Here is a 23,226-nt window from a genome sequence, read left to right on the forward strand (position 1 = left end):
ATTCTTTAGTGCTTTCATTATTATACATTCAAAAGGAGATGAAGAAAGCTGGAAGCCCCATCAAAACTGCCAGCCTCCAAGCTGAGACGGGAACATGGCTGCCTTTGGGAGAAAGAGTGGCCTGACAGCTCATGCCCATCAGCCAAGGGCTCCCCTTGGCCTGGAATACACCCTCCGGAACAGCCAGCAGGTGCACCCACAAACGCAGCACCCTCCATACCTCACCTTCAAGCTGGCACTTGCTGAACTGCACACACATTTTTCTAAGAGAGGTTGTCACCTATACTGAGCTTAATAGAAATTGTTAATCTTATATGTAAAGGTAATAATTTGTCATAAATAATTGTTCATTATCTGGGCCTTTGCTTGTCTTGGAGTTGAGCTGTATGCAATAAAGCAGTGCAATTTTGAGTAATTCGATTGTAAGGCTGCTGGGGAAACATGGTGGATTGTAATGAGCCTAGGAAGGGTCCCGTGGGCCAGAGACCCCAAAGAACCAACCTACCAGCTCTGGCACATGCAAAGCCCAGGTCCTCACCAGCAATTGCACAGGTTCTTTAAATAGTCTCTCCAAGACAGAGAGTGAACCAGTTTCCCCTTCTCATGTTTCTGCCAGAGTAAACATCACTTAGAGGAAACCAGTCCTAGACGAAGTGAACCTCGGTCCCTGGGAAAGGCTGAGGTGGCCCCAGGGCAATTTAGTCCCACCAAGCCGGCTGATTGGCACCAAAGGCTCACCTGTCTGCCTGGAACAGGTAGGGCCAGGGGGTCACTTCCTCCAAAGTGACCCTGACACTGCTCCCGGCAGCAGCAGCATCCTGGCACATCCCTGCAGGCAGAGAGCTAGAGCAGTCCTGGCTAAGAGGTGGCTGTGAGGCCAGGGAGCAAGGACCCTGTGCACTTTGGCTTCCTAGAATCCCACGGGCACAAAGACCCACTTCAAGGAAACCTCCCCCAAGCTGGGAAAGGAAGGGAGGGAGGGTGGGAAGGAAGAAGGGAGGGAAGGAAAAAGAGAAGGAAATAAAGAAGAAGGGAAGGAGGAGGAGAAAGACAGAGGAAGAATGAATTTTAAAAAAAGAGAAAGAAAGAGAAAAGAGGAGGAGAAAGGGAGGGAAAGAGAGAGGAAGAATGAATGAAAAAAAGAGAAAGAAAGTGAGAAAGAGAGAAAAGAGGGGGAGGAAGGGAGAGAAGAGAGAAAGAAAGCAAGGAAGGAGGGAGGGAGGAAGGATGGAGGAAAACAGAAAGAAGAGCAAGGGAGGAGAGAGGGAAGGAAGAAGGGAAGAAAAAAGAGAGAAAAAGGAAAGAAGGAAGGAGGAAGGGATTAAAGGAGGGTAGAAGGAAGGATAGAGGGAAGGAGGGAGGGAAGCGGGAAGGAAGGAGAAAAAAAGGGAGAGGAAGAAAGAGAGGATGGAAGGAAGGAAGGAAAAAGAAAGAAAGAAGGGAGAATCCTAGATCCATTATAACCATGAACAGCTCTTCCTAATATAAAGATGATCAGCACCCCACAAAAACACACACATACATGCCCTGACGTGCATCCAATGACATGAGTCTCCATATCAAAGCCCACTTGCAGTGTGTTCCTGGCAGTCGCTGCGGTTTGTGGTTTTAATATCTCGCTTCTTCTACGCTCCTGGCACCTGCTAGAGTGGGCCTGGCTTCCCCTCTTTAGGCACAGCTCACACCGGGAGGGTAAGCCCCCAGCCTGCTCTCTGCCTAGGCTGGGCACGGCACAGTCCACAGCCTGGGAGGGAGCCGTTCATCAGGGTGACATAACGGTTCAGTTCCAGAAGAAAGTTCCTGCCTAGGGCTGAGCTTCAGGCAGGGTAGGTTCCCAGGAGCAAGTGCTGTGAGCCTGAGGCCCCAGGCGTCTGAAGACACCACAGGTCTCCCCCTCGTCTCCTCCATCCCAGCAAGCACCTGCGGTCCAATCGCGCTAAGCCAGGGGCCCTGCTTTCAGCCGGGTTGGAAAGGGATAGAAGCTCCCCCATCTCCTGCCCTTTTCTAAAGACAGGCAGCTCCAGCAAAACCCTCAGCCCTCAGGCGTCCCTTTCGTGGGGTCCCCGCCCCTGTTCTGGAAATGAGACCCCAGGTCCCAGGATGCAGCTGGCATCGCAGGGGAAGGGACTTGCCCCCACCCTCCACCCGCTACCATGACCCGGGAGAGGCCTTCCCGAGGGTCTGAAGGTCCGCAGAGCCCTGCCCCACCCTAGTCCAACAAGGGGACCGCGTTTTAGGGACATCCCTGGATTGTCAAGAAACGCTGGCTCATCCGGACCCCCGGGGAGCGCAGCATGAACCCAGGAGCACCCTGACACCCCGAAAACAGGGAACCTGGGGCCCTTCTCAAACTCAAGGGGAAGGAAAGGGAGCCTGCCAAGTTCTGCTTCTGCGAGGCAGCTGCCACCAAAACCCGCTCCGAGGGCCCCGCCGGGCCGCCCTGGCAGCTGGAAAAGCGCATTCCTGCTCGCCCGAGGATGCAGAAGGCAACCGAGTCCCCGGGCGGCGGCGGGGCAACTGCGGAAATCACGCAGCCAGATGAAGCTCATAAATTTCCCCTATGAACAATTGTTTTCATTTCCCTCCCATGCCACTAGATATTATAAGTGGAAAGCAAAACACAAGTAAATATGTTCATTCCGCTCTTGCGATCGGTGATAAACCGGAGGCGGCCGAGGCCGACAGAGGTCAGCAGGCCGCTCGCCACGGGTCTGCGAGCGGACACTGCCACCCTCCGGCCGCGCGCGGGACTGCACCGGCCCCACCGCCCGGCTCTCCCGCCCGCTCGCTGCCCGCCAATGTTCGCTTTGCGCCCTTCGCTCAATGTGCGTGCAAATTACAGGGACATTCGAAAGGACAGAGAGCTCCCATATTTAAAATAATCATTTTTGTTCATCATAACCTCTCTTCCAGAGATAACCGCTCTTATTAACGTTTTCGTACAATTATCTCCAGTCTTTATGTGCATTCTACGATGTCTTCTGTGTACCTATGAAATACAAAGCTTTTCCTACAATATTAAACCTTGATTTCCTAGGTATCACTTAAACGAAAGTTATTGTCACACAAGATAGCCTCACAGATATCTTTTTAGGGGCTGTGTAATATTTCAACTTGGGACTGCACCAAAAGTTACTGAACCATCTCCCAATTGCTCATTTAAAGAGTTTCTAATGTTTTCATCCTTGTGCATAATGCTATAACTGAAACCTCTATTCAGAAACTTTTGTTTATATTGTTAAGATCCATCAATAAAGGCAGAATTATTAAATGAAAAGAAATTAACTTTTTTTTTAATGGATTCTGGCTCCATGCCCCAGGCTGGAGTGCAGTGGAGCAATCTCGGCTCACTGCAACATTCGCCTCCCTGGCTCAAGCAATTCCCCTGCCTCAGCCCCCTCAGTAGCTGGGACTACAGGCACGCACCACCACACCCGACTAATTTTTGTATTGTTAGTAGAGACGGGGTTTCACTGTGTTAGCCAGGTTGGTCTCGAACTCCTGACCTCAGGTGATCTGCCCATCTCAGTCTCCCAAAGTGCTCGGATTACAGGTGTGAGCCACTGCGCCCAGCTGAGAATTAACATTTTTAAAGCTCTTAGTAGCATTACTATTTTCTAGATGTATAATACCTATGTGGAGAATATTATTTAAAATGATGAGTGAATATAAAATAGTGCTCAAATGAGTGGTCAGAAAAACTGTATCACCAACATATCAGTCCCCACTCATCTCATCTTTCACTTGAATGCAAGGCCAATAAAAATTCCATCAAAGCTTTTTTGATATTTTGTCACATTGATTCCAAATTCCATGTGAAAGAGTAAATAAGGAAAAATCTCCAAAAAACATGTTTGTGAAAAAAGAGAGGAGACTTCCTCAACAAAGATATTAACATATATCACAGAAAGCTACAATAATTTAAACAGTGAAGCACAAAATAGAGAGCACAAAAGGGAGCAAATAGGCAATAACTTACATTTTAACATAAAGCCATTTTATATCAGTGGGAAAAGGATGGCTGATTGATGAAGTTATAGGTACAATCTGCCACTCATTCAGAAAACAAGAAAAGTTAGTGTCCTACCTCATACCACATATTCAAATGAATGCTATAAGGATTAAAGATTTAAATTTTTAAGTGAAACTATAAAAGTGATATTTACATATATGGTAATAGAGAAGTTCTAAGTCCAATTGCAAAGGCAGAAGCTAAAAACTTTAAAATGCCCAGATTTGAGGTGCACAAATTTAAAATACCCACATGTGAAAAATATAATTTTGAAATTGAAAGGTAAACCAACACTAGGAGAAAAAAACACTTTCAATATACATAACAGAAAGAAGGTTAATGCCCCAGGTGTGTAGAGCTTTCTCACAAATGAAGAACAGACAAATACTTCAATAGAATTGGGGACATGAATAGCAATTCACCAAAAGAAATACAAATGATAGACATATAAAAGATGTTTAGTCTTATTAATAATCAAAAGACATGCAAATTAAAACAAAAATGAGAAAATTTTGTCCCTATATTGATAAACACAAAAACAATGATTGTATTGTCAAGGATGGATAAACGAATCCTTTCAACACCACAGGTGATAGGGTAAATCAGGTAACTGGTAAACTTTATAAAGGGTAATTTCACAATATGATCAAAATTCTTACAACACGTGACCCAAAGATTCTACTTCCAAAGGAATCTATCATGGGTATGTACAAAGATTCACCTGTAAGATTGTTCATTGCTATCAGAAACAAACCAAATGTCCAACAATAGGCAACCAGATTTTACATAGATTATATAATATCATAAGATAATACAATCAAGTCCTCAATAGTAATGTTGTAGAAATTAACATTTAAGGATGTCTTAACATTTAATATTCAAGAAGGTCTCATAAAATACTGCTTTATAGCAAAAAGCAAGTTACATTGTAACCATGCTTTCTACACACATAGGAAAAAAAAACCTATAAGGTATTCCTTTAAATAATAATAATGGCAGGTGGACTACAAGTAATTTTTAATATTCTTTTGGCTGCTTTAATATTCTTTTTTCTTTATATATTTAACAATTTTTTATCAATTGTTTAGAAGAAAAATAGTTTTAGTGGTTTTCTAGAAATATTGTATTTTACGTTCCCACCAGCATTACTTGAGAGTGTTTGTTCAGGCCAGGCAAAGGGGGCTCATGCCTGTAATCCCAGCACTGTGGGAGGCCAAAGCGGGAGGATCACATGAGGCCAGGAGTTCGAGACCAGCCTCCATTCTACCAAAAAAAAAGTAAAGAAAAAAAAAGACAATGCTCATTCATTTGCTCATTTTTTAAATCCAATACTCTCAAAACACACATTCAGAGCAAAGCACGTTCAAGCCTGGCAACAGCTGTAAACAAGACAAAGCCCTGCCCTTGTAGAGCAGTCGATAAGCTCCACGGTTAGGAAAACTGAAAAGGAACAAACCAAGAAAGCAGCCCCGTGGGGATGTTCCATGGCCTGCTGTGGAGGGAAGCAGGGCGAGGGTCACCGACCGGCTGGGGAAGGAGCTATGCTAGGGAGGGGTTCCGGGAGGGCCACTCAGAGGAGGTGACGGTGAGGAGACCTGAGTGTGGTGAGCAGCGAGTCACCTGTGAATCTGGGACAAGCATTTCCCCGCAGAGGGAACAGCCGAGGCGAAGGCCCGAGGAGGGGAGGGGCTTGGTGTGCCTGCGGAACAGTTGCGCGGAGCCCCGTGTGGCTGAAAAGGAGAAGGCGAAGGAGAGGCGTAGGGGAGGGGACAGGTGGCAAGAGCCCAGAGAACCTTCTGGGGCACAGGAGGGAGTGTGGATTTTCTTTTGTGTATGATGGGAGCCGTTGGAGACTTTGTGCGTGAGAGCGACGAGACCTGATTTCATTTTCCCAGGATATCGCCAGCTCCCGGTTGAGAATGGAACCCAGTGTGCCAGAACTGCAGCAGGGAGGCCGATTCAGGAGGTCACTGCACGAGCTGTGCCTGGCCTGGAGTGGCCTGGTGCGGGGAACCTGGCGGCACTGGCGGTTCACACTTGCTAACTGAGTAAGCAACCGTCGTGGGGGTGGAATCTTGATGTGTTTCTTTTCTGAGCCCCTTGTCAGCTGGAATGCTCTGGTAGCTCATCCCTCAGGAGATCTGGATGTCCCTGAAAATAGAGAATCAGGCTAAGGGGATTGCCCTCAGGATACACCACCCCCCATTCTCCCCAGCCCAGAAATCATCTTGTGCATTGGCCTTGAGTCCAACCAAAACGCTGGACAGTCAGTGGCTAAACAAAGAAAGAAGAGCGTTCTGTTGAATCATGATCGTCATCTACACTTTCAGGAGCTTTCATGTCCACCTTCACAGGTGTCAGCATAGAAATCACACTTCTCCCAAAAATGCACATGCAAAGTTTTCCTGCATCCAATGCACCATGTCATGGAAGGAAGCACAAAATCTATGTGGTCTTACACATTTTTTTCAGGGTTTGGAGATTAACTAATAGATTTCCAGGATTTATTTCCTCCTGGGTTCTAATGTCATCCCACTATATTTATATGGGAGGAAAATGATGTCTTTCCTCCTCAATCATTTTAAAGTCATTATCATCTCTTGCATGATAAAAATTAATCAAACTATTTTCTTAAGATAATTCTTATAAAATTGAGGTGCCTATTACAGGCCTGCACATCTTATGTCCCAGAAATTACACTCATCTTTGCCTCTCCTGTTTCCATAGTCCCATTTCTTCCAGTATTAACTATTTTTTTCTTTAATGAGACAGGGTCTTTGTCTGTTGCCCAGGCTGGAGTGCAGTGATGTGATTGATCACAGCTCACTACAGCCTCGACCTTCTGGGCTCAAGCCATCCTCCTGCCTTAGCCTCCCAAGTACCTGGGATCACAGGTGCATGCCACCACACCTAGCTACATTTTTTTTATTTTTATTTTTTGTAGAGAAGGGGGTCTCATTACGTTGCCTAGGCTGGTCTCAAACACTCAAGTGATCCTTCCATCTTGGCCTCCCAAAGTGCCGGGATTACAGGCGTGAGCCACGCTACCCAGCCCATAATCCCATTTTACCATGCACTTGGTCCCCAGTTTCTCAAGAGATCTGTGTCTGCCCTTGCCCAGTCCCTCCCTTGGGGAAGTTGCTTCTTTGTAGCCAGAAAAAGCCCTTGGGGTGGTGGAGGATGGAGGAACTGTGGGCTGGGCCCTGAGGACACAGTCCGAGGCAGGTCCTGTGCCATCTGGGGGCTGAGACACTGGGGTCAAATATGTCAGAGGTAAATTCGCAACTTCCATTATCCTTGCCCAAACCTGGAGGGGGCTGCTCTGTGTGCACCAGGGGGACCATAGGCTCAGGATGGGGCTCTTCTGTGCAAGGCAATTTGGGGATTCAGCCGGTGTCCTAATGCCTGGGGTGCCACCTGGATGAATGAATACAAAGGCACCAGAGGAGGAGGTACTTGTGTGGATAGAGGTATCTGGGACTCCAGGTGGGGGTCACTGAACTGAAAACCCATCTGTCCCAAGTAAGGCATGTGATAAGAGAAGGGCATCTCCAAAAGAATACCTTGGGCACGGTGCTACTGCAAAAGCTAACTCAAGACTCCCCCCGCCCCTAGTATTGGCATGGAAAAGTCTCCATGCCAGCAAGTGATACCCAGCACGGACCAAGGACATCTTAGTACCAGCAGTCTCTGACACACATGCCAGACCACCAAGGTATCACAACTGGCCACAGCCCATCCCAGAGACAGCCGCACCACAGCAAGGCAGCCACAGCATAAAGTCGGAAGGTCCTTCCACCCCGACTGCTGCAACAAAGGCACTTGCTTACAGGAAGCAGTGAGAACATACATGGTTACACATACGGACACGCACATCGGTGAGCATCTCTCCTCTGGACTTGAATGCCTCTGCTCTGCGCTGGCACTCAGCGTGATACCTGGCACTTGGTAGGCACTTAATGAGTGTTTTCTAAATATAGGAAGGAACAGGGGGAATGGAAGGACTGTGTAGACATCGTCCAGTGGCTTGTTTCTCTACCAGTTTCATATCCAGAAAGCAGCATGGCATTTCAGGGTGGCGCTCAGGCCATGCTGTCAGTTTCATACCGAGCATCAGCTGTGGGGGAAAAGAAGGACACGCATGCCCAGGGGGCTGGGTGGTTTTACCTCCGTTAAAAAAAATCACCTTCCAAGAGACACTCCCCAAGTTCTGCCGAGGAAGGACACAGCACAGGGGATCCACCTGCCTTCAAGGCGACCAAAGGAGCAGATGCCAGCAGGCTTGAAGCAGAGCCCTTGGCAGGCAGGTAAAGTTGGACAAACCCTGGTCTCTGTTGCCCCATCTGTAAGATGGCACTAATTACCTAAGCTTGTCCCCAGACTCTAATGACATAATGAGCATGAAAGCCCCTCATTAGGGGGGCGAAAGGCATCGTTATCCCATGTTTAAAGGACGTCATTTGCCACTGGGCAGAGCAGAGGAAGAGGAACAGGAAGGAGCCAGAAGCCTGATGCTCTTGGCCCATCGCCTATCAGCATCACATCTGAGCCTGGGATCTCCAGCCCTGGGCTCCTGCCTCTCCTCACGGGACCCAGAGCTGCCTGGAGGGCAAGACCCCAGTGAGTGCTCAGAGCAAAGGAGCCACTGAAGACACTCAGACTGGCAGCCCTATGTGTAAGGGTGTGACTGCCTTTTACCCGGTGCAAGGAGCAAGGACATGGTGGGTGGAAAGTGGGCAGTGAGGCCTCTCCATTTCAAAAGGCTTCCCCCAGTGGCCGGAACGGAACCCCATGGAGGGCCTCTCCATGCTCTTCATCAGAGAGCAGACATCTCCACCACCACCAGACATAGAAATCGTCTCCAACAAAAGCTGCTCAATTCCCTCCATCTCGGAACAGAGTGGCAAAGGCATGAGAGTTGCTACACATTCGGAGGTAGACAAGCACATCTAATAAACACAGAGACAATCTGCCCATTTTTGGACCCCTGCATTAGATTCCCAAGCAGATGCTCCACCACACTCAGGCTGCAAGATTAGTGTGGGAGGGACTGGAGGAAGGGCTCAGACACCCAGACCCGCTCTCTCCCCACCAGGCTGCGCGTCTAGGAATTGTCTGTGTCACGTTGCTGCTGTCACCAAGGGAGGGCCCACGGGGATGAGATCCTGCCCCAAAAGCAAGCCCTGCCTATGTTAAAGACAGAGCCTGCATGAGTCAAATCCGACTCCTGCATCCCATGGTCTGTTTGGGAGGCTGCCCTGTCCCCACCAAGGGTGCCTTCTCAGTCACCTTCACCGCACTCAGGCTTACCCTAGCACACTTTAAACCAGGAACGCTCTCCCTTGAGCTATCTTTTTTTTTTTTTTTTTTTGAGATAGAGTCTCGCTCTGTCACCCAGACTGGAGTGCAGTGGCACGATCTCGGCTCACTTCAAGCTCCGCCTCCTGGGTTCACACCATTCTCCTGCCTCAGCCTCCTGAGTAGCTGGGACTACAGGCTCCCGTCACCACGCCCGGCTAATTTTTTGTATTTTTAGTAGAGACGGGGTTTCACCGTGTTAGCCAGGATGGTCTCAATCTCCTGACCTCATGATCCGCCTGCCTCAGCCTCCCAAAGTGCTCGGCTCTTGAGCTATCTTTTAAGGGACCTGAGGATGAAACAGTGAAACTGGAGACTGGCAGGTGTTCACTGTCAGTCTGGGGAAAGCAGATCCAAGCAGCCATGAGAAAACCCCGGAAGCAGTCAGAGAGGAATCAAAGTCCTACCGGTGTCATGTGGCCCCAACAGAGCCCCGGAGAGAGCCAACTGAGCAGAGGCCTGTGTGGCTGGGCAGGCAGGGGACATGTCCTGGAGGGAGCAAGCCTTGAACTTGTGGTCTGTAGAACTTGCCCTTCTGACCCAAGGGTGGCCGTAGAGGAATGTTAAATCAGCACCCCCAGCCCTGGACCACGCCTGATGGCCTGGAGGAGTCTGCTTAACCTCTCCAAGCTGCCCCTTGGAGAATATAAGATCACGAACCTGGACCTCGTCCCACCCAGGAGACGCCATGAGGAACACAGTCCCCACAGTTCACAGGAAGTTGCAGACCGGAGGTGAAAGAGCATTTTGCTGGAAGGTAATGAGGTATGTTAACCACCCTGAAAGTTAGGGGATTCACCCAGCCTCCAGTTCTAGACAGCTCTCACCTCACATTGAGCACCAAAAAACTCAACAATCAAGGTAAGTGCAATCTCTTTAAAAATCACAATGAATGCATTTTTCAAAATCCATAATGAGCAAGATTATCAAAATTTTAAATCAAGACAAGCTGTGACCTTGCTACCTCACTCAGCACGACCTGGCCATTTCACACTCTCATAGGACAGAGTACTCCATCCTCATTTCACTCACCACCATTGTCATTAAATATTCATCGGAGGGATGGTTGGATTCGTTTTTGCCCCTGCAAGGGCGAGGGTGGCATGCTTCACTAGTCTGTGTACCTGGCACCTAGCTCAGAGCTTGGCACATGGAAAAGTGGTGCCCAGGAAATACCCAAATGAACATCGTAGATGGAAGTTAATCCTGAATGCTGTGCTGAGAGCTCTTCTCTGCTCAGATGCCACGGCGGGCTTCTGCTCCTAGCCCTGGGGGACTCTCCACCCGACCCTATCGCTGCCACTGTACAAGCTCCTACCTTCCCAAATGTAGAAGCCAGATCTGGGTGTGTGTGTGTTTGTTTGTTTGTTTGTTTGTTTGTTTGTTTGTTTTTGAGACAGGGTTTCATTCCTGTCGTCCAGGCTGGAATACAGTGGCACAATCTCGGCTCACTACAACCTCTGCCTCCTGGGTTCAAGCCATTCTCCTGCCTCAGCCTCTCCTGCTCAAGCCAGCTGGGATTATACGTGCCCACCACCATGTCCTGGCTAAATTTTGTATTTTTAGTAGTAGAGATGGGGTTTCGCCATGTTGGCTAGGCTGGTCTCAAACTCCTGGCCTTAAGTGATCCATCTGCCTTGGCCTCCCAAAGGGCTAGAATTACAGGCGTGAGCCACTGCACCTGGCCCAGACCTGGGTTCTAATGACCCCTTTGCTTTCATTTGTGAAAAGATACTTTCAGTGCAGAGCTGATGGGATGCAGTGCAGACACAAACAATCCGGCAGGTCCCAGGACAATGTGTGACTGATTTTCTGCACCTCCTGGACTTGTCTCCACCTCACACAAGGGCCACCGCCAAATGGCTGTGGGAGGGTGTGTCCTGCCGTTTTGGGCACTTGGGCGGCTGGGCTTCCGCCCCCAGGAGCCATGTTGGATCCATTCCAAGACAGTCACTCTCTGTCCACTTCTTCACAGAGAACATCTCTATATTGAGGAAGTTTAATTTGAGGCCAGCAGGAATCATAGTGTATGGGTTTGCCTGAAACAGGCTCACATGCAGGCAATGGCTAAATAAAAATCTCCAAATAGCCATGCCCTATTTTTGCATTTTTATGAGTTCTTTGAAAGGAAAAAAGAAGGGGTGAGGAAGAAATTAAGAAATACAAGGCTGAGCACAGTGGCTAACGCCTGTCATCTCAGAGCATTGGGAGGATGGTGGGGAGGATGGCTTGAGGCCAGGAGTTCAAGATCAGCCTGGGTAACATAGTGAGACCCCATCTTTAGAAAATAAAAAGAAAAATAAAATCTTTACAGAAAGAACTACAAGATGTTTCCCTGTCCTTACCTGATCTCCCAGTTGCAGGGCACCTAGGAAGGGAGGGGAAAGTGCAGGGGGCCTCCTGCATGGGCAGCCAGGTCATGGGTCCTGCCAACAGCCTCTGCCCAGCTCCTCTTCTATAAGTGGACCTTGGCCCTGTCCTCCGTATGCACCTGTTCTGTCTCCTCTGACTTGGAGAGACAGCTTTGCCTTTCTGCCTCAGAAGATGGAAAAAGGAGGGAAGTACCCCAAGATGTCACCATTCACTCCCCCAGCTCCTGGGAAGATGCCCAGCTAAGAGGTGCCCAATGCCAGCAGGCCCAGCACTGCCAGCTCCCAGGGACCCAGGCCAAGCCAGAGACTGGCCTGGGCTCATTGTAGAGGAGAAATGGATGAGGAGAGAGAAGCAACATGCGGTTTTAATTCTTTGTTAAAAACTTGGCTGGGCACTGTGGCTCACGCCTGTGAGCACTTTGGGAGGCCAAGGCGGGCAGATCACTTGAGGTCTGGAGTTTGAGACCAGCCTGGCCAACATGGCAAAACCCTGTCTCTACTAAAAGTACAAAAATTAGCCAGGTGTGGTGGCGGACGTCTGTAGTCCCAGCTACTCAGGAAGCTGAGGAAGAAGAATCGCTTGAACCCAGGAGGCGGAGGTTGCAGTGAGCCAAGATCACGCCACTGCACCCCAGCCTGGGTGACAGAGTGAGACTGTATCTCAAAAAAAAAAAAAAAAAAAAAAATCATAAACCCTACCAAAGGGTCAATCTCTCTTTCAGAAAGGACATTAGGTGCTGTTTTCCTGCTGGAAGCCCCATAAGTCTCCACGTCTCCTCAATATACAATTCAAAAAAGCCTCCAAATTGCCGCTGCTGTCATGCTAAGCATTGGAAAGTTCTGCTTGACCTTTTATTAACATTTTTCTAAACCAATATGTTTGGTGTGGTGGTTTTGTCTTTTTTTTTTCTTTTTTTTTCTTTTTTTTTTTTTTTTTTTTTGCTACAAGCACCCTGAGGACTTATGAAAAATACTTTTTTCTGTAGTTTATCCCATATGCAGTTAATAGGCTCACAAATATAATACCATTATAAAAAAGAAAAACTGCCAACTCTGCTAAAAAAATTGTCATAACACTAAATTATTATATAAATATAAAAGGAGTGTGTCTGTAAAATATTCACTCAATGAACATCCCAAGGTGATGGTTTTGCTATGTTGTTTTTATTCCTGAGAGATCCATAACACACTCGAATATGCCACATGTCACCACATGAATCAGGCAGTTAATACATGTGCTTTTTAGAAGCACGGATGTCTTCCTGATAGAATGTGCTATAAAAAAATGTGGAGATCCGGCTGCTTTGTCTGATAGGCATAATTTAATGTCTGGCTTATAATACTGCATCTTAAGGAAAAATACCCACTGTCCTATGTAGTTATTTACAATATATTGCTAAGTCTATGCAAATATGTTTCCCCGAGCCTGGGATTATATAACAAAGGTCAACAATGTTTGAAATATTTTGAAGCATATTCCCAATATGCGTAGTGTATGGTGCTAATATCCAATATATGCACATATATCTTAATATATTTCCAGATCTTTCTGTTCATTGTTCTCTCCGTAGCTTCCCACAGAATACTATTAGAGAAATGTTTTCTTCTGAGTAAAGCCAAACGTTGCCTATCCATCTTGGAAAAATTTATTAAGGTGGCTAATTATGCGGTCCTTAATATTGCATTAGTAGGAAGGTTGCTCAATGCCACTGCGGAAGAGAAAAAGATAGAAGCCAGTTCAATAATACTGAAACCAGAGACGCAATACGTGCAAAAATCAGCACACACCTATGTCATCCTATTTTTCTGCCCCAGATTTCCAAATCAGGCAATTCCACTTAGGGATCACATGTGTGCCTATGCACCCACACGCACACACACACGCACACACATGCTTGTGATCTGGTGTGCACAAAACCAACATTACAAGCCACACATTCTGCTTCTCCCTTCCAAATATTGCAGATTTTGCCCTTATTTTTCTGAATTTTGTGATCACCTGTGCCTTTCATTCAAATCGCTTCCTTCAAGAGAAAAAGAAATGGTTTGGCTAATTGCACAAGAGTAGGGGAGAGGGTTGTGGAAACCAGACCTGCGCTATCCAAGCCACATCCAGAAAATAGCATAAAAGAGAGATTTGTTTACATCAAAGGTATATGAAATCTGAGCCCTCAATTCTGTCCCCCATTTCAAATTATATTGTTCCTCTATCATTCTCCAGTCACTGGGTTGAACCAAATTGGGAAGACTACAGTAAAACAGACACCAAAACAAGAGACTGAGGTCATTAGAAAGAGGCCGATCCCCAGAAAAGATACTCTTCCCTGGTATGTGGACCAGGCTGGACTTTGCATGTGGCTTTTCATATCTGTGCTGCTGTGACACTGTGTAGCTGTCCCAAACTCTGGTCCACAACATCACCCAGAGGTTGACTCTGGCAGCTTCAGACTGCCTTGGTATTTTGGGTCCTCGAAAACCCCAAGGCTAAAAATCCTTCCAGCCAATCCATGTTTTAAGACGCTACAAAAATCACCCATTTTCAAGGACTAATGGAGTATGTCTAGATGTGGCTATGGAACTGATGTATTTTTTTAGAATCTTTTTCCGTGTTATCAGTCCAACCAGCCACACAGCCCACCTGATGAGGATTTTTAAAAAGAGCCAAAGCTGTGAAACCTCTCTCGCCAGCAGAAATGAGTTATCTAGAAGCTTCTTGAACAGAATTCTCTCAGGAGGCGAGATTAAGTCTGTAATCCCAGCACTTTGGGAGGCCAAGGCAGGAGGATTGCTTGAGGCCAGGAGTTCAAGACCAGCCTGGGCAACCCATCTCTACAAAAAAAAAAAAAATTAATTAAAAAAATGAGTTATCTCAGGAAGGCAATCAGACACACAATGCAAGCCTCCTCATGAGAAAGTCAGCTCTGCAGTTTCCCCAGAAGAGAATGTCATTACCAGAAATTCACACCCATAATCCCCGCACTTTGGAAGGCCAAGGATGGTGAATCACTTGAGCCCAGGAGTTCAAGACCAGCCTGGGCGACATAGTGACTGAGACACCATCTCTTTAAAAAAAAAAAAAAAATTAATGACCTTCTTGCTTGACTCTGGCCATGGGGTTTCCTGAACCCCCATGATGATCCCACAAAGTGTGGGGGAAGTGGGAAAATAGAACAACACACATGTATGCTCAAGACAGCTCCTATTTCCTCCTAAGCCATAAACTGCTTCATAGAACCTTCCAGAAGGTTTTGAGGAAGGGTTTTCACAAGGGCCGAGAGAGCTGCGAGCATCTTTGTTCTCCCACTGGAAACTCAACTGTATATAAGACACAGCAAATGTTAAATCATTTAAAGAGAGCTATTTTTCATAGTTTCCAGTACATAAATGTGTTTCAGTACATGTTATTGTAAAATAGTGTTCCTACTTACGTTCTTATACATCTGTTGTTGTGTTTACTCATCCTTTCGTTCTGACTTTTAGAAATAGCAATAAATCTATTTTTTAATCCCCTCTGCTGATGACTGATTATTCATTGCTAAAAGGGGTGGAAGGAGGTCCATGTGAAGAGTGATCCGCCCTCCAGCACAAGCTCCACTTTCACAAGATAAACAGGGTCCAGGGAGATTCCTCTTTCGTCCTGGGTAGTTTATGCAAACTAAATAAGGACTTGGTGGCAGCTCAAACAAATATAAATTACCCTCCAGTGGAAACTCCAACCACTTGTTACAGTCAATTTCAGTAAGGAGGAGCCAAGGGTGACATCTACACAAACAATACAATTCATTTCTATACTGCATCCCTAATACAAAGATTGCAAAGGGCTTCGCGGGAGTCAGTCATCACTGATCTAAACCAAACAGGGTGGGAAGCCAAGAAGGCAGAAGGAGGAGAAGAGGAACTGCTGCTTCTGGACCCTGGGAAGAATCCCAGCTGTAATTGGAATCCCACCAAAGCAAGTGCCTACAGCTGTGTAAATCAGGATAAGGCAGGCTCGCACTGCTGCAACAAACAGTCCCAAAATCTCAGTAGTTTGATACAAGTGTTAATTTATTTCTTTATTTTTTTTTAAGTTTTTAGAGACAGGGTTCTGTCGCCCAGGCTGGAGGGTAGTGGCTTAATCATGGCTCACTGCAGCCTCAACCTCCTGGGCTCAAGCAGTCCTCCTGCCTCAGCCTCCCAAGTAGCTGGAATTAACAAGCACATACTGCCACACCCAGCTAATTTTTTTTTCTTTTTTTTGTAGAGATGGGGTCTCCCTCTGTTTCCCAGGCTGATCTCACACTCCTGAGTTCAAGCAATCCTCCTGCCTTGACCACTCAAAGTGCTGAGATTACAGGAGTGAGCCACTGTGCCCAGCCACAGTGTTAATTTCTTGTGCTGAGGGTCTGGAAGACTCACAAGGGCAGCTGCCTCACACTCCATGTGTCTCAATGATCAGGCTGTATTGTTCTGCAGCTCCTGTATCTCAACACAAGGCGTCTGTGGTTGCCCAGGCAGAGGAAGTGAAAGAAAGCCATAGTTAGTCACACACAGGCTCTTCTATGCTTTCACCTGGAAGCACTCTTTTGACCAGAATAAGGCACATCTTCCTATTTGCAAGGGAGCTGGGAAATGTGGGAGAAGAGAAGGTCATGTCTGGTGAACATCACTAATTCTACCCCAGGTGACAGACAATTTCACAGAGCCACTCATCGCATGGGGATTGCAGAATACATCACAAAGGACCCTCTAAGCACTTTCCCTAAACCGTATTGTGCAGTATGTTTGCCCCTCTGTCTACAACTAAACGGTGCTTTAACTGCATTCCTTGGGCTAAGTGATGGAGCAAACTTAATTTCCTCATCTGTAAAATAGGGATACCAGTGCCAGTCTAACAGGCCACCACGAAGACCTAAGACTTTATGCATCTGTAAACTGCACATCATTAATGCACACATGTGTGTTAGTGGAAGTAACAACCATAGCTACTGGGCTAGTATTTCAGCATGTGGGGCAGGGAAACCCTGGTTCAATGCCTAGAACTTAGCATCCAGAATAGTCACCGAATGGTGACCCCCATCCAGTTCCATTTGATGTCTAACTGGCTGCTTTGGTGATTGCTTCTGTTTTTAGGGCCTTTCAAATTTACTCTGCTTTAACATATCTGCTGATGATATGAATGTCTGTACTTATGTCTACCAGTTCTTACCTTAGAGTACTGGCTGGGATTTTTTTTTTCTTTTCTAAGATGGAGTCTCACTTTGTTGCCCAGGCTAGAATGCAGTGGTGCTATCTTGGCTCACTGCAGCCTCTGCCTCCACGGTTCGAGCAATTTTCCTGACTCAGTCTCCTGAGTAGCTGGGATTACAGGTATGCACCACCATACCTATCTAGTTTATGTATTTTTAGTAGAGATGATGGCCAGGCTGGTCTCAAACTCCTGACCTCAAGTGATCTGCCTGCCTTGGCCTCCCAAAGTGGCTCACAAGTGTGAGCCACTGTGCCCGGCCTACTGGCCGAGATTTTTTGATGAACTTTTTAATGGCATCTCTCCCAGATACCTTACAATGGGATTCCCTTGCAGGTGCTTCCATTTGCACTTAGCCCGTGGTCAAGCTTGTTTATTTTGCCACACTCAAAAGTGAATTCCAATGAATATTGGAAAAGGCCACAGGATCTGGTTATTTTTCCAATCATATAATGCTGATTTTCTTGTTTTGTTTTGTTTTGTTTTTGTTTTTGTTTTGTTTTTTGTTAACCACATGTATTGCAAACTCTTCTTCCTAAAACCTTCTTGGCATGTGGTCATCTCTGGGTCACATCAGAAAGGACCAATTGCAAACAAAACCACCTTGAGGCTGGACAAAAGGAAAAGAATGAGATGGACTCTTTCTTGCTGGGTTCTTTTGGAGATGGCGAGGCATAGCAGGGTGAAAGAAACTTGGCTTTGAACTTGAGTTTCAATCTCAATTCTGCCATTTGTATACGTGCCCTTAAACAGCTGGTACCTGATATAGTTTAGATATTTGTCTACATTGGAATCTCATTTTGAAATGTAATTCCCAATGTTGGAGGTGGGGCCAGGTGGGAGGTGTTTCGGTCATGGGGGTGGATCCCTCATGACTTGGTACTGTCCTGGCAATAATGAGTGAGGTCTTGCAAGATCTAATTGTTTAAGAGTGTGTGGCTCCTGCCCCTTCTCTCCTGCTCCTGCTTCCACCATGAGAGGTGCCTGCCCCCTCTTCGCCTTCTGCCATGTTTGGAAGCTTCCTGAGGCCTCACCAGAAACAGATGCAGGTGCTATGCTTCCTGTACAACCTGCAGAACTTGAGCCAATTAAACCTCTTTTCTTTATAAATTACCTAGTCTCAGGTATTTCTTTATAGCAATGCAAGAACAGCCTAATACAGTGTCCGGTCTTGGGGCCTTTCCTGGAAGGAGAGGAGGGCGGTACAGGGAGGACTCCATAAGACAACAGGCCAAGGACTATGGCTTGGTGGGTACTGAGCATTTGGTGAAGCCTAGTTCTCTTACTCAAGCTTCAGGTGACACAATCATCACGGGGCACCTGAAGTATCATAGGACTGCGCCAGTGGAGGAGTTGTGGACAAGTTGGTACAGGATGTGCATGCACATAAATAGTCTCCTCTTCATAACTTTCTGTTGAAAGAAATGGAGCCATCTCCAGCAAGGAACCATGAGACTTTCTCATGGCTTGAGCTGTGACCTCCAGAAACGTCCTCCAACAGAGCCGTCCAACAGTGGATTTTCCTGCCCAACAGCCCAACACACGAGTGCAAGTTTGATCTTCGCCACCTCCTCCAATGCTATGGTAGGTGACCCCGGCAGCAGGATTGGAATGATTATTGAAGTCATTGCTTCATTCTCAGACTACACCAACCAATGCCCAGTTCAGCTTTTCCCCACCAGTCTCTTGGCTGTTTCAACCAAATTACAAAAACGTGAAGATAAAATAATTAGAAATGCTCATTTGTCACTGAGAATCTGGCAAGCAAAACCTATATTTTGCAAGAAGTTTTAATATTGTACTTTTTTGTGCTTTCCTAAACTAATTTAGTCTACTAATTTTCTATAATTACCTGCATGCTCTTAGCTTCCGCTGGTCAGATGAGTTCTGAGACACTTATATAACCGGCATTAAAAAGATGCATTTAGCGGCTCAGATGGTTAAAGTACCAAAGCCTATAGAATCCGGAGGTTATTGTATTCTCCCACAAGTACTTAAATAATAGCCTAAAATCTGAAGAATTACTTTAATACTCCAATAAAAATAACCCAATTCAAAACATTTTCAAGGAAACAGAGTTCTTTGCTCTAGGCTACCGAGTAATGGCTGAGAAAAAGTATATAGCCTGTCACTTCTGATTAGAGAACTGTGCCTCTGTGCTTTGAATGAGGGGCATGTCTGGTAATAGGAAGTGCAGATATTAAAGTTAATAAAATAATGTGGAATACGATATATATGAAACTTGACCAACTAGAGCACAGAATATAACATACATTACCCTGTTCAGTCAACTCCTGTGGCCCGGCATCTAATGACAAGTTTAATTTCTGTTTCCAATGAGAGTACAGCTAAAAATACAATTTCCAGATTAGACAAATATTTTATCCGACTCCCTAACAAATGTAACCAAGAATGGCTGACGTGTCTACACAGATGCCCAGTGACCATGAGAGGGAATTACTAGGATTGCAAACTGCTCAGCCTCAAAAGTCCGTGAAACCCCATCATCTTTGAGGTCATTATAAATAATTAGTTGCAGACGCAGAGATGTTGAGGCTTCGTCACTAGGAAAGCACAAGGGTGGATCCATTTCTCTCCTGCCCTGAGAGGCTCCAAGCTCCCTCTCGGCACAATTAGGCCTCCCCAAACCATCCGACATCAAGGCCCCTGAACACCCATTATTGCATCTTTAATCTAAAACCCCAACGCCAACCATAATGGTTTTTGTTTTTCGATACATTAACCTTCAACTTGTATTTTCACTATTAAATAACCAGCCTGAGAACCTCTTAGAATTTTTTTTTCCCAGTCACCTACAAGAAACCATGCAGTTCCCATGACATGACCCTCTTAAGGGATTTAAAAGCAATTCAATGAGCTAATCTCAGTAAACCTAGAATTAAAGTTCTTGTTTCCATATTTCACTTTCAAAATATTTAGAACTTTGACAGATATGACATTATGTTTTCATTAAAACAGCTGATTTCAAAATGTTGCTCTGTGCAGAAACGCCATAAACAGTTTATGATGAACTGCCACGCTCTTAATTAAAACAATAAATCCAGCACACAATATTTGTGCAGCCTCCGGTCTGACCTTTGCCTCTTGCTATCCACCACCAAGCCGCGGCTGCGTTCCCAACGCCAGACGTGGAAGGTTTTAAAACATGATCTGAAAGGCACTAAAGATAAAATAAGAGAAAACGTACCATTAGTCTTCGCAGTTATGATTAATTCAGTTCATATTTTACAATCTGGTTATGGAGTAAAACTGCAGACTTTACATCAAGTATTTGCCATTCACTATACCTAATGTATAAAAATGCTTGATATTTTAGAAAATGGCACCGAGCTAATTCACCACAACCCCATGAAGGACAGGAATTGAAATAATAAAAACAGAGAGTGATTCGCTATCCATCCAAAGTGAAGATAGGTTCGCACTGGTTGGACGGTCAGCCTCGGACGATAAATATGTCGATTGCAGCCCGGCTTCACCATGCCACGTTTATCTCTGTGCCGCGAGATTTCAGATTAAAATATTCCCTAAATCTCTCACATCTGCTTCCAGAGCAGGCAACAAGGGTGTTAATTACCAAGCAGTAATGACAGTTGATTTGTTTCCCTGGCCTGGAGGCACCAAGCTAACTTCCAGCCTTGCCATCCTCAAGGACAGAAATGATTCTGAACTGGGGCTCACTCATTTGTACCCCATAGAGAGAGAGCACTGGGCTGGTTTGGGGACCATTTTGTAGCCTCTCTGTGGAGGGATGCGTGGACAGCCAGCATCTGGGCTCCAGGAGAAAATGCTCCCAGCTGTCTTTGGAGCACAGACTTCCTGCAGGAAGGGGAGGGAGTGTCCAGGCACCTTTGAGGGCATGGAGACCTACCTCATGATGCCTGCAGCAGGCTGACCCCCAAGACACCTCCCCATCACACCTAACATGAGCATGTGTCCCCATGCCCGTCCTCCGGGCTTTGTCTTACCACCTTCTCTGTCTTTCCAACCCTCTGTCCCCACCTGCTCCACATCCATATGACAAACACATGCACACAATACATGGACTAATGCAGAGCTGGGGAAGCAAAGCCTCTGAGGCTGGGAGACCAAGGGTGACAGTGAGTGGGACCCAGCTCTGCAGGTCCTTGTCTGAGTTGCAGGCAGAGTGCACCAGGGTTCCAGAAAGATGGAGGAAAGGAAAGCAGTGCTGGCCATGGGAGGCCATTCAGGCTCGCAGCCCCGGACCTGGGTTCCTTCTGCCCACATTAGAAGGAGTAGAACCCCACGTGGGCCACCTCTCTCTGCCAGGGCAAGACCCTCACGTTGGCCTACCTGGCTCCAGCCTTTGCTCACCTCCAAAGCCTATCATGCCTTTCCTCTCCCCTCTCCAGGACCCTTACTTCCCTCTAAGGGCCCTTTCCAGCCTACACAGCACAGTGGACTTAGAGCTGTCATCGGGACCTGAACCCTGGAGGGAACCAATGCTATGCACCCCTGCCTGCCATGGAGCCTCCGAAGCGGCTTCCAGGGAAGGCGCTGCCAGAGCCTTTCTCCTACCTGGCCCTAAAGACGTGCCTTAGCCCTTGTTTGGTTGGGGAATTCTGTCCCAGCCATCCTAGCTGTGAAAGAGCCCTGCAGGAAGGTTAGGCCCTGGGGGTCCCTGAGCACCATCCAGGACTCCTGTGCTCCCCTGGCCCTGCCCCACGTGCAACATGGCTCTCTGCCAGGGTTCTCACTCAGTGTGCTCACTGTGTGTGTGTGTGTGTGTGTGTGTGTGTGTGTGCGTGCGCGCGCGCGCGTGTGTGTGTATGTTCGGATGGGATCTCGTTATGTTGCTCAGGCTGGTCTTGAACTCCTGGGCTCAAGCGATCCTCCCATCTCGGCCTCCCAGAGTGATTGGATTATAGGCGTGCACCATCATGCCTGGTCAAGCCTACAGCGCCCAGTATTCCCAGACAGTCTCCCATCCAAGTACTAATCAGGCCCCAACCCTGCTTAGCTTCCAAGATCAGATAAGACCGGGCACATTCAGGGTGATATTAGGGTTATGCCTTACACTTTGAATCAAGCATCAGAGTTGAGATGGGGCCCATCCACCTTCCTGTCTTCACAAAAGAAGGTACCCTAATGGCAGTTAAACCCCTCTGCCCCCCACCATCTGCCCCTACACCCAGGTACTTGGACCAGAAGGAACAGCTCCAGATCCTGGGTACCTGCCATCCCACCCCCTACATTTTCCAGCTGTGCAGCCCACCCTGGCCCACAAGGTCACACTACATGTATCCCTGGGATCACAGTGGCCCCTGTGAATATCACCATTTTTTAGAAAACTGATAGATCAGAGGAATAAAGTCACCATCCTGAAGGCACCCAGTGAATAAGTGGCACCACGGAATTGAAACCCACACCCAGCTGAGCACGGTGGCTCACACTCGTAATCCCAGTACTTTGGGAGACAGAGGCAAGTGGATCACCTGAGCTCAGGAGTTCAAGACCAGCCTGGCCAACATGGTGAAACCCCATCTCTACAAAAAATACAAAAATTAGCCAGGTGTGGTGGCGCACACCCGTGGTCCCAGCTACTCAAGAGGCTGAGGCGGGGGGATCACTTGAGCCTAGGGGGTTAAGGCTGCGGTGAGCCATGTTCGTGCCATTACACTCCAGCCCAGGCATGCAGTCTCACTGCAGTCTGAGAGTGAGATCCTGTCTCAAAAAAAAGAAACGCACATCCTCTGCCTTTAGGGCTGATAGGCCCTGATAGTAATGCCCTCCACCACCCTATGCAACCCCACCCTCGGTCAGACCCTTGAGTTTCTCAAACTGAGGCCCATAGATACGTCCTCAGGAGTTCACGACTCTTTTTTTTAAGTTATAATTTTTTTTTTTTGAGACAGAGTCTCTCTGTCACCCAAGCTGGAGTGCAGTGGCATGATCTTGGCTCACTGCAACCTCCACCCCTGGGTTCAAGCAACTCTTCTGCCTCAGCCTCCAGAGTAGCTGTGATTACAGGCATGCACCACCACTCCCAGCTAATTTTTGTATTTGTAGTAGAGTTGGGGTTTCACCATGTTGGCCAGGCTGGTCTCGAACTCCCGACTTCAGGTGATCCGCCTGCCTTGGCCTCACAAAGTGCTAGGATTACAGGCGTGAGCCACCGTGCCTGGCCGGTAAGTTTTAATTTTGTGAGTGTTTTCACTTAGCACATTCATCTAAAAGAAACAATGAATAAGATAAATTCTGGATCACCTGGGTGACCA

At 47.0% G+C, this 23,226-nt stretch overlaps 1 pseudogene, besides 1 other annotated feature; it reads right to left on the bottom strand.

The window, feature by feature from the left end:
- Window positions 2,770–2,829: a silencer, noted in NCBI's record as "silent region_10477". NCBI's record gives its function as "represses an Ori minimal core promoter by ATAC-STARR-seq in GM12878 lymphoblastoid cells {active_cell/tissue: GM12878}" and the evidence as "EXISTENCE:reporter gene assay evidence [ECO:0000049][PMID:35858748]".
- Window positions 21,901–22,019, bottom strand: RNA5SP472 (RNA, 5S ribosomal pseudogene 472; annotated as a pseudogene).

The sequence above is a fragment of the Homo sapiens genome, chromosome 19 (genome assembly GCF_000001405.40).
Source record: "Homo sapiens chromosome 19, GRCh38.p14 Primary Assembly".
Classification (NCBI taxonomy): domain Eukaryota; kingdom Metazoa; phylum Chordata; class Mammalia; order Primates; family Hominidae; genus Homo; species Homo sapiens.